Below are 12,578 nucleotides of genomic sequence, written 5' to 3' on the forward strand. Positions count from 1 at the left end.
AGTCAAGTAACGTATATGTAACCCAACCAGCTACAACCAACTAGAGTGTGTTAGAAGAATACTCCTAGGGGTACTTTGATTTCTTTTTCTCTATGGGTGTGGTTGAAAGAAAATCTGTGTTCCAGGAACACTTTGTTTGTCTTTTACAAAACAAATGTGCAATTTATTCATTCTTAGATTTATCTGCTTTCCCTATTATGAATTGGAAGGGTGAAAATATCTTACACAGCATTTATTGGCAGCCCTTGTTTCATGGGTAACTTTGCACAGGAGTGTTTACTTATGTGTATATGAAATGCGTGGGCAAGAAAGAAGTAGCCGAGGAATTTAAATAATTCTTGAAAGGACTATTTGGCTTTATTTGTTTCCTGGTGTACTAGGGCAAAATAAAATATGCCGACCATTGAACACTTTAGTATTTTTATAGCTGTATCAGAAGGAAGTTAATTTAATGCAAAGGCTTAGGAGGCAGTTTTAGGATCACAGAATTTTAGATCTGGAAATCTCTCCCCAAACTCAAAATTTTATACTCTGTTATACACACCTTTCATATAAAGTTGACCATATTTTGTCTTGAGGAAAAAAAAAAATGTTTTCACCAATAAAATAAACTGCAAAGAAGAGACCTGGACCCAGACTGTTTTACTCAGTGAAACTTCAACCTAGCTTCAACCTTGGCTTTTCCAGGTCCCACTTTGACTCTGTATCTTTCCCTTTTACTTTTCACTTAGAATGCTTTGTAAACTTTCCTAGGAGTCCTCAAGGTCTCGTGGGCTTTCTCCAGTTTGGTAAATATTAAAGGCAACTCCTCTGGGGATGTCTAATTGCAAGGTTGGAAATCTGCCTCTGTCCAAACAATGCCAAAATTCTGGTCCAAACGGGAGGTTCTGTTCATAAGCAACAAAGTTATCATTTGTGTTTTGCCCCACCAAGCATTGCCACAATAGACCAAGCCCCAGCTGTGCCTGTAGCCTCTTAGTGTGTGGAAGGAGGTTGATGAAAGGTAGGGGTTCTAGGCTGGCAACACATAGAGTTGGGACTATTTCCTATCACATGCATAGAAAGTAGAAAGTTAATGTACATGAATGATGTATCAATAATGTTAAATCATTACAGTGGAAATTGCAGTGTTCCAAAATAATAAGTAACAAGCTAACCTAAGGAGAGTAGAATTCTGGCTTCCAACTGGCTGAATTCTACAGTCTTACATCAAACAGAAGTCTTATATTTGACTTGATCAAAGGCCACCATCCTCGTCCCTAATAGTGTAAACCAGTTAAATCTCTGTTATTATTATTACTATTATTATTTGAGACATTTTATCCTAATGAAAAGTCCACCAAACTGGGAGTTCAAAGATTGGGTTATAAGTCCCAGCTACTCAGGAGGCAGAGGTAGGAGGATTGCTTGGGCCCAGGAGTTTTGGGTCCAGCCTGAAGAACAGAGAGAGGCCCATCTCTTAAAGAAAAAAAAGGATTGGGTGGTTATAGTCTCAAATTGGGGAATATTAACAACTAGTAATGCCACTAATAAGGTTGTTGTGAGGAACAAAAGAGACGTGAAAACACTATATAAAAAACCTTTGTGAATTTTAGTGTTTTATTATCAGTACTGGAAATAGCATTAATACTTGCTTTCTAAATGGGGAAACAGTCTCTCTGTTTCTCGTATTTTTAGTTAAGAGGGCTTTTAAAATTTGCTGTCTTCTGTGATATCTGTAACAATCCTGCAAAAGTGGCAGAGAGAAGAGATTTTGCTTCTTTGTTCTATGTACTGGGGGGTTAGGAGAGAAATAAGAATTTTTTAAAAGTCTGACAACTGAAAAAAAAAAATATATATATATATATATTTCAAAATCCAAACTAACAACCTTACTTTAAGTCTTCGCAAAAAAGTAAACTCAGAGTTACTGGTTTCAAAGTTTAGTGTGCATGAGCTATTTGGGATGCTTGTTGAAAAGGTAAATTCCTAGACCCCAGCCTTAGAGATGCTGAGTCACTGGTTCTCGATGGCACAGTATCTGATTCTGATGCAGACAGTCCCAGGACCACTATTAGCAACACTGTCTCCAGGATGCACGGACAGTTGTAGGAGTTGAGAGTAGGGGGAACTTGCTGTTTTTCTTCCAACAGAAAGAGAAGGATTCATGACTTGGCTAGTGTTTTGGGTACTGCGTGATCTAAATGTTTTGAACTAGGATGAGGTGGAGAGAAAAAAAAAAGAGGTCATTTCTAGGCACAGAAGATTGCCAGGGAGCCGACTCCATCCAGAACAGAGAATTGGGAAGCAGTTAGAGATGGCATCATCATGAAAAATGGTTAGAGAAAAAAAAAAGGAGAATGAAGGGATATGAAGGAAGTGAAGTGGTCCCAAGAGTCCAGGTGACATCTTCCATGAAACTTACTCTGAAGCAACTGTTCATTTATACTCCTTCAACCTGAGAGCACACACATTTTTCTCCATTTTATTTCAAGAATACTTGGAGAAATTGATGCACCTTTACCCCTATCATAGAAAGCTAATTGCACAACCAAGATAGAATTTTAGAATCAACAGGTATTTACAGGCACAGTATTTACTATGTATGGGAGATGGTGTTAAGTGCTATGAGGGGTAGTCCTGGCACTTAATGGTTATATGCCTCTCTCTCATTAACAATGTCTTAGACAAATCGAGTATAATACAAATCGAGTGTAATAATACAATTGACACATTGGGGGCTGCTTCTTGAAATAGCACTTAAAAACTCTGGAGAAACGACCGCATTTGAATATTTTCACTAAAACTTTTTGTGCTTTAGCTGTATAAAAAGCACGGTTTTGAACCCAAAGTTTGAACTTAGCGTCTTGGTCTGCTGTAAAAATCTCAGATGGGCATGCCTTGGGACATATATCAGCATCTCAAAACTAGTTTGCATTGGGGGACTTGCCTTCAAGGTAAACATATTTCCTTTTAATTAAGTGTGCCAGCTGACAAAGCAGCTATACACAGACCAGGCAGGAGTTGAAGACGTGTACACTGTTAAAAGATGTCATCTTGTAAGCAGCTAAACATCTCCATCCGTGGAAAAGCCGCCAGCCTGAGGAACTAAGTGAACATAATTAGAAATACATCTGGGTATTGGCCTCCTATCTGAAAAGGTCACATGCACACCTTCCATTGGTACTGGTTATGTTCCATCATTATGTTCCGTCCTTGCTCATTCGTCTCCCACTGGTTACCAGATGGCCATGATAATGTCGGTATCCTTAACAACTGTCTAGTGCAATTCCCTGCAGCATGGTAAGGGCTTGAAATATTGAGTGTTTTCCCTTTGGAGAAGCAAGTGACATGTCTGGGAATTGCTTACAACCGCTCTGATGGGGTGGTTGCGGAGTGATGGCAAACTGGGTCATGGAGCCTAAATTCAGCTTGATGTTGTACAGGTGGAGGCCACCAAAGCACGGTGTTTGCCATTTCTCAAGCTTAAGATGAAGGAAGGCTTCATCCATGCAGAATCTGGTGTTTACAAATGAGCACAAAATAAAGTGAGGTGTAAATAAGCATTAAGATCATTATAAGAGGAAGCTTCGCTAAATTTGCTGAAATGTTCCCCTGAGTTAAGGTGGTTTTGATAGAACTCTCTCACAAGAATGCTTAGGGAGTCCTCCCAGCATGGTTCTCTGAGGTGTGCCAAGTTACCAGATGGATTTGAGGAACGTTAAAAGAGAGGAGTATGGGTATGGGGAGGGTGGAGAAGGTGGGTGTATCAATCAAGTTGGGCTAGATCATGCTGCAATAACAAATGACCCCCAAATCACCACTGCTTTAGAACAACAAAGGTTTATTTTCTGCTTATGTTATATGTCTCTTTTGGATCAACCAGGGGTTCTGCTTCATGTTAATTTTACTCCAAGACCCAGACTGGCAGAGTTGCCACTATCCTGGGACATTATAGATGGTCACAGCAAAGACAAAGAGAGATTGTGGTCAGTGGTACACTGGGTCTTAAAGCAACCATCCACTTCTGTCATATTTCATTGGCCAAGGAAAGTCACAAGGCCACTGGCCTCCAAGAGAGTGAGGCACACAGGCTTTCCACAGGCCCAAAAGGAGAACAGGAAATAGTTGCTGAACAGCACTCATGACCCCAGAGCAGATGGCGATGCATTTTAGACCCATGGACATCTTTGGGGCCAGATGACCTTTTCAGAGGCTCCAAGCACTGAAAAGATTATACAGATGCTTGTTGACTTTCTATGGGGTTACAGCCCAACAAACCAATTGTAAGCTGAAAATATCAAGTCGAAAAGGCATTGAATACACCTAACCTACTGAACACATAGCTTTCCTAGCCTACCTTAAACGGGCTTGTAACATTTGCCATAGCCTACAGTTGGGCAAAATCATCTGGCAACACAGTACACTGTAGAGTACCGGTGTTCACCCTCTTGGTCTCGTGGCTGACTGGGAGCTGCCACCCACTGCCCCTGCCAAGCCTTACAGGAGAGTGTCCTACTGCATATCACCAGCCCAGGAAAAGATGAAAATTCAAAATTCAAAGTATGCTTTCTACTGAATGCATGTTGCTTTTGTACGTGGAACCATCGTTCAGTTGAGGATCATCTGTATAATCCAATATAAGAGCAATTCCAAACTAGAAATAAATGTAAAGAAGCCCAGCAAAGTTCTACCTTTCCCTATGATGAGGATGACTTTAATGCTTCAAAAAATGAAGATTCTTTCAAAACAGTTTTTGGGTCCTACTGCTTGCTGATGACACAAACATTACTTACTGTGTCTAGAGGGCCAGCCTACTCTTTTCTTTTCTCTGCAAGAAGGTCCACTGTGCGGGTAGCCTGAAGCGTATTCTGTGGGGCTGGATGGGTGAAGTGGGGCTGGGAGGATGCTGGCATCCCCCAGACTGTAACAAGGATGAGAGTCTTTTTAGTCCCAAACCAGAAGTGATTATTGAAATTATACCATGGCCATGAAAGTTCTTTGTCAGAGGGAAGAGGGTAATGGAAGTGTTTTCTCGTTTGTCTAGGGGAGGACGAGGAAGAAACGAACGTGATAGTTCTCAGCTACCCCCAGTACTGCCGGTACCGCTCGATGCTGAAACGCATCCAGGATAAGCCATCTTCCATTCTAACGGACCAGTTTGCATTGGCCCTGGGGGGCATTGCAGTGGTCAGCAGGAACCCTCAGATCCTGTACTGTCGGGACACCTTTGACCACCCGACTCTCATAGAAAACGAGAGTATATGCGATGAGTTTGGTGAGTCTTTTTTTTTTTTTCCTACCTGATTCTTGTGCGTGTGTGCCTAGTTGTTTTCAGTTCTTCTGAAGAGCGGTGATGGGGAACGGGGCTCACTTTCACAAGCCCCATGTGCTGCCCCACCCCTCCCATCCCCCAAATTATTGCGGCATAAGGCGTCATTGCCTCCTTCGTAGCCTCTGTTTACTATGAGTAAGAGATGATTATTTATAATTTGTTGTTCAATGTAGAGTCTGAAGTTGCTTGGTCGACCTTGAAATTGGACTTTAGGACAGGAAGCTTTCATGTTACTTTTCTCTCAAAAGGCTTTGTCTATTCAAATGCTTTTTTATTTAACTAGTCACTCTCTTTTCATTGTTATAAGGTATTGTAAAAATGCACCAATGGTAACCACTTCAGTAGTAAACAGTGAATAGATAAATAGATAGAAAGAAAACAACTTCAGTACTGTATGGTGGATAAATAGATAACCACTTTAGTACTGTACAGTAGATAGACACGTAGAGAGATGATAGATAGATAGATAGATAGATAGATAGATAGATAGATAGATGATAGGTGATAGATATCCATGTCCTGAATTTTTTCATACACTCATACACACACATGCACACGTACACGCACATTGTGCCCACCAAAGATGGATACATATCTTAATCTGCATCTCTGCCTAGCTAACTGGTCACGTGTCTCTACATGTAGACAGAAGGGGAGGAGAAGAAGATATCACATCACCAGTTTGGGAAGCCTTACACGGTGCAGTAGATGGCGAGATGCAAGCCAAGATAGTCGTTCTCTTACATTATCACTTTCTCATCTGTTTGTTGAGGAGACTGGATCATATCAGTGGTTTTCAGCAGGCTGGGCAGGGATGTCAGAATACCCTGGGGTAGCCTTATCAAACTGCTTGTGTTCCTGGGAATTTCTATACTTAGAGGCGTGAACCCCTACCACTCTCACCCTACCCCTTCTCTGGAATCACTACCACAGAGTGACTGCTGGGATGGCTGAGCCCTGCTGAATCCCTCATGGCTACCTGGGTGAAGAAGAGGTTGAGACCCTTAGCCTGGAGAGAGCATAGGGTCCCTTTGAACTGAAACATTCCTTGATTTTGTTGGCTGATGTTTTCCTGAGAATCACTAGTTGGCAGATTATCCAGATTCAGGTTACTCTGCTTATCCTTTGCAGACCTTGGTATGGTTTCAGGAGTCCACTATGGCCTCTTAAATTTGATTCTTCATGATTCCAACAGCCCTGGTGCTGCTACTAGAGAAATTTTGCAAGTAGCTATGTGAACAGAGTTGGGGTGAGGATGAGGAGATGGCATATGATGATCAAGAAGGAAGGGAAGACAGAGAGAGGAAGGGGAACCAAATGATCTAAGTCCATTAGATTCTAAGAGCCATGACATTTTTTCCCTCTAAATTGTGTTTTTGGATATCTCTCACAACTCTGGCTTATCAAATGACTGTCATTCTGTAAGAGGGCAACACTGTTTGTATTTATTTTTTCTTCTTCAAAGAAATTTATTTATTGTCATATTTTTAGTATTCAAATATCCTTTGACTTCAAGTAGATAAATGTATGCAATACATTTTTTTACAATGCCCTCTCTTTTCAGATCAGCATTTACAAATCTTCCCTTTTCAATACCTGTGTTTGAGTTTTTCTTCCACATTCTCGGCTCCCAAACGTTGCTTCCTACTTGCCGCTCAAGAGGTCTCTAAATTCCTGACACAGAATAAAACTGAAAGCATGTGTTCCCTCATTTAAGAGTGTTCAAAATTAGAGTTTCACAACGTAATATGAGGAAAAAAATGTTTTAACCTTTCTGGTTAATTTAAGAATTATTAGTCATTGAGTTTCAAAGCTGTTGGATCTAGAATTGGTAATAGAAAGAAGTTCCAATTTAACAGCGATCACAATGGTTGTTAAGAGTTACTAAATTAGTTTTAAATGTTCTCACAAAAACAAGCATCTGACTTTTGAATGTTTTCCTGAACTTTCTTCTGGTATAGCTAATTTTAATGCTGTTTTTCTTCTCCAGCCTCTTAAAGTGGAAGCTTTCTTTTGGAATAAAGGTACCTTTAGAGACCTTCTAGATGGCTAGTTTAATAATTAGAGTATTAGACATTTTTTAGTTGTTTGTACTTCAAATAGTTTGTACTTCTTACAGACTTTCATGTTAGTAAGTGGACCAAAAAGCTTATTTTGAGCAGATTTGAGCAACTTCACTAACATCCCTCCCCACCGTCCCACTTTCGGTCACAACCTAAATTTCCAAAGAGCACCCTTTTAAATCTCCAACTGGTTGCATTTGAAATTGACATGGGTTAAAGTGTTTGTTAAAATGTGGCATTGAGTTTCTCCAACCAACTAACAGTTGGTGGAAGAACATAAATTTAATTAGTGACTAGCATTAAACAAATGTTCCTAATATTAAACACTGCCAGATGACTGAAACACTTCTGTCAGATTACCGAGAGTGCCAGGGGGCCCACAGATGAATTTTCTACACAGTATATATTCTGTACCACACGTTTGGTGACTTCAGTAATTGGTCAAATGTAATTTAGGTAACAGTATGCCTAGGCTGTAAAAATCAAATTTTATTGGCCATATCACCAGGTGGATGAATGGTAGAGCTGATGGCAAAGAGTTTATAGCATTTAGCAGCTACACCTTTGACACATGAAATTCATAAATTGCTGTAAAATACCTCCAAGGCCCTTCTCAAAAGGACACTGTTTGCTTTCCTATGATTGAATAATGTTTATTTTATTAACTAATATACTTTTTGCTTTCTTCTATTAAATGCGATTATGGAGTAGGGGGTGGGAGGAGGTGTTCAAAAGGTAAATAAAACTTGGCTCTTGCTAGTTTTGAGAATTTAAAATCTAATTGGGGAAGACAGGATTAACACACCTGAAAGGTTAACTAATGTTACAAGAAAGTCAATGATTAAGTATTTGATGAGTGTTGCAGAAAGCAAGTGTGGTAGGAATTTAGCAGTGGGCTGGGAGGTGGATAGAGATGGAAATCTTGGTGAGGGGTCAGGGAAAGCCTCGTGAAAAAGGCAGGGTTTGATCTGGTTTTAAAAGATAGGGAGCAGGTTAATAACTACTCATTTCTAATTTAAAAAACTATTGGAAATGTCTAGATTGTTTAAAACTCATGTTCTGACCTCCCATTTTGGGTAATGGCTGCCTTCACCCTGGATCAACTGTTGATCTGTCTTAGGTTTGTTCTGCCTCTAGTCACTATCCTTTGGGTGGGTTTCATAAATGGCCTGATGTCCTCTCTACCTGTGGGACACACATGTGACTCAGTGACCAAGCCTGGCAAGAACCCAGGCTGTGACTTTGGAGCTGGGGCTGGCTTTCCATCTTGGATAGGAATGAGTCTGAGTTTTCTCTGTGTGCCGTGGAGCTTACCTGCATTCCCTGGATTCATCTCTGAAAATAGACTTTGCATTATGGGATGACCTTGCCCAACTGCCCATACACCCCTGCTCCCCACCCACCAATCCCCACTGCTGTTTTAATGTTGTCCACTGAATAACAAGTTTAATTGAACAATGAAAGTAAGGCTTTTAAATCTGCAATGAGTCCCTGTAAATAAATTCTCTGTGGAATTTTATGAAGCTATTTAATGAAAAGTTTGATTAGAAACTATTAAAGAAAAATAGAATAGATGAAATTTCATCATTTAGTCCAACATTACAGTAGTGTCATTTTGATTTTTATTTACATTGAGATATTCAGAATTGAGTAAATATATCCTGGTTTTAATTAACTATCCTCCTTACTTGGGAAAGGTTATTTTAGGCTTGAAGGGTTTTGATAGCATACCATCTGCTTTCTTCACTGTATTTTATTCAGGTCCCTTCCTTGCTTACAGAGCTGTGCAATGTCTAAACCTATGACATAAGCATAAATTGAATCGTATTAATGGTAGGTGATTGAAAAGCTTCAGTCTCGACATTCTGCTTGCATTCTTCCATCTTGTCAGTTACACTGCTCTTAAAGGCAATATGCTCTTTTCTTAGCACAAGAGAATTGACTATTTTTAAAACGAAAGCAACAGACTCCCCATTAAAGCATTATGAAAACTCATTGTATTGCACATGCAATTAGGAAATGAGCTTGTAAGACCAATGTGGGGAAAGTGATGTGAATGGCAATTTTTTCTTCATAAGAATCTTTATTCTGTGCATAATTCCTGCCTCCACCGTCCTGTTAGAATAGCCTGGAGAATCAAGCATTCTCCAACAACCCCTACCTTGCTTTTACCTTTTTAAATGATTCCTCTTTTGTAAAATGCATACTGTCATTTATATTGTGTTATTTCCTATGCAATAGAAAAAACAAACACATACAAACATTTTTGTCTATTTTTGTTGTTAGAACAATAAAATGTCCACCACTTTGTAATGCACAGTGTTTACATTAATATCACACAGATTGATTTCACATGTGTGAAGTGTTGACAGCTAAATCCAAACAGAGGCACACTCAGTACAGTAGATAAAAGGATAACTTTAAGGTACTGGCTTCCATCAAAGATATGTAAGGCAGCTCAATATATATAAATGAGATGAAATCAATTATTCAAGGTGTGTGGTACTAAATGGCTTAAGAAATGGTTGACTTAAAAAAGAGATACAGTTTATTTTGGTCTGAGGTTTGAATTGCAAAGAAGAATAAGAAGTTGAAGTTGTGCTTCTGAGTCTTTTGGCAATTGGGATGTGTGTTGGCCTGTCATCAGCTGTTTGGTCCATGTGTAGACACCATGAGCTCTGATCTTCAGGGAGAAGGGGTTGGCTATGTCAATATGAAAATACACATTCTGCTGGGGACCAGAAAGGAGGGACAGCAGGGTATAGTGAAAGAGTGCTAAGCTTACAGGCAAATAGCCCAGGTTTAAAATCAGGGCTCAACCACCTGATTCTCTATGCCTCTGGGCAAGTGACATAAGGTCCCTCACTTGCCCCATCTGTAAAATCGGGTAATAACAGCCAACTTGCTGGACACAGAATAAGACTGTGTTCACTTGATTTTAAAAAACCCTCTTGATAAATGAAGATTCTCTACTGTTTCTATTAGTCATATGTCTTGCACAACTCATACTCATCCAAAATGATCTTGTTTTTCAATCATGAAGGAACCCAATTCCCTAAGGCTCCTGGGGTCTTACTATAATAGAACTTTAATGGAAAAGACGAGTTTTCTACTTTTTACAGTATGTTTTTAAAGAGGCTTTTCTATCTCTGTACTGAACTTTCCAGTCCTGTTTTTCCTGTGGAGTGAAATAATGACATTATGGACAAAAGAAGAAAAAGAAAAGGGGGAGAACAGAAGAGATGAAGGGACAAAACCTTGAATTTTTATGAAAGGAAATTCAGGACGTATAAAATTAATTTGAAGCATAAAGGATGAGCTGGACTCTGCCTCTTCCTTTCTGAACATCACATGTTTTGCTGGAAATGAAAGGCAGTTGTTTTGTTAAGGATCATGGGAATTTGTAAGTGAGTAAACATTTTTTTCCTTGCCGAAGTAGGTTTCATGGTCACAGTGGATTTCGATGACCAAATGGCTTTGTTCCTGGCCCCTGTCCACATTCATACTTTCTCTGCCTGCCTGTGGTGCCCACTGATCTCCCAAATGATAAGAAGGCAGACATTTTTCTTTCATTGAAGCTAAGTAGAAAAGGAGTTGTGCTTCTTGTATATTGCTGTTTATGCAGAAGACCTTAACCTTCAGAGATCTTACTTGGAGGACTGCTTTGTTTTGGAAATTTTCTAGAGGTTTTGTTTATCATTAAAGAATGGTCTAACCAGGCTGGGCGTGGTGGTTCACACCTGTAATCCTAGCACTTTGGGAGACTGAGGCAGGTGGATCACCAGAGTTCAAGAGTTTGAGACCAGCCTGGCCAATGTGGTGAAACCTCTTCTCTACTAAAAATACAAAAATTAGCCAGGCGTGGTGGCGAGCACCTGTAGTCCCATCTACTCGGGAGGCTGAGGCAGGAGAATCTCTTGAACCCATGAGGCAGAGGTTGCAGTGAGCCAAGATCGCGCCATTGTACTCCAGCCTGGGAAACAGAGCAAAAACTCCGTTTCAAACAAACAAACAAACAACAACAACAAAATAATGGTCTAACCAAGTCACTCTTGGCACTTTCTCCTTGTTGCATGGGCTACCAAAGTGAAAACAAGGAGAACCTTAAGGTCATCATATGGCATAGTAAACCAAACCCAACTCAGTGCTGGTAGAGGTGTAATGGATGTGCTCCGTGATACATGTAATGATTAAAAGATGGACTCAGCTTCTAAGAGAGTAAGACAAAAGTAGAGCAAGAGAGAAGACCTCCTTGGGCAGAGGCCTCAGAAGCTAGAATATCATTTCTCTTGGGAAAAGAATTTTGTGTGTTGCTACTGTAAATTAATTTACAGTCATAATATATGGAATGGCTAAGATTCGAGGATTTCTTTTCTGTTTTTGGAACTTGAAAGGAGATTTAAAAATAACTCTGGACACCTTTTGTAGCTGAGTGGGCTCAATGGGTTATTAAAAACAATTTGGGCTCATGGGTACAATAAACTTTTGTTCACGCCGTAAGAAATGATTTGTGTCTATATTGACTAATATTTCACCTAGCATTTCATCTAGAAAAGCGAGAAAGTTATATCCCATTACATTAGCAACATCAACATATTTCTCTCTAGGGTGAAACTGACATTTTTATCAATTAAAAAACATACATGCTGCAGGAAAGAACCAGGTCATTGAAAAATCACAAGCAAAAGTGCTGGTCTGGGGTAGTGGTGGTGGAGAGAGATTCAGAATAAGTCTATGTTCGCTTGACTTAAGCAGCCTCCTTGATAAATGAAGATTCTCTGTAATCCCCTTTATTATGTCCTGCCAGGGAACTAGATGGATATAAGTTCCTTGAACTGTAGGTGAGGCTGTGTGGAGATGCTTAGAGCCTATTACAGTGCCTGACACATGATAGGCTCTCATTCATTCATTCATTCATTCATTCATTTAACCAGGGTTTATTCCACAGCTATTATATGTGAGGTGCTGTTCTGGTCTATGAGGACAACAGTTGTGAACGAGACAGAAAATTTCCCACTTTTATAGTATGTGGAAAGGGGAGTGACAAAATGTGAGATAACTGTGGACCTGACCTCACAGGTATTGACCTCACAGGACTATTGTGAAGATTAAATGAGCTAATGAGTAAAAGCACTTAGATGGTCCATGTAAGTGCTGTTTAAGTACTCATTGTTAACCTACCCTTCTTGTGCCTCTTGCAG

At 39.8% G+C, this 12,578-nt stretch overlaps 1 protein-coding gene and 1 long non-coding RNA gene across 2 annotated transcripts in view; one reads left to right on the forward strand and one right to left on the reverse strand.

Annotated features, from left to right (window-relative positions):
- The window catches only part of ARID5B (AT-rich interaction domain 5B), a 195,246-nt gene that overhangs the window by 93,366 nt on the left and 89,302 nt on the right, over positions 1-12,578 (forward strand). The window contains exon 4 of the mRNA NM_032199.3: positions 5,027-5,257. Coding sequence (NP_115575.1) covers positions 5,027-5,257 — 231 coding nt within the window. The remainder of the gene's footprint in view (positions 1-5,026; positions 5,258-12,578) is intronic.
- LOC124902435 (uncharacterized) lies at positions 3,003-5,386 on the reverse strand. The gene is made up of 3 exons (XR_007062155.1): positions 5,283-5,386; positions 4,776-4,903; positions 3,003-3,087 (listed from the first exon to the last, which is right to left on the reverse strand). It is a non-coding gene; the product is annotated as an uncharacterized LOC124902435 (long non-coding RNA).

This window comes from Homo sapiens, chromosome 10 (genome assembly GCF_000001405.40).
Source record: "Homo sapiens chromosome 10, GRCh38.p14 Primary Assembly".
NCBI classification, from domain to species: domain Eukaryota; kingdom Metazoa; phylum Chordata; class Mammalia; order Primates; family Hominidae; genus Homo; species Homo sapiens.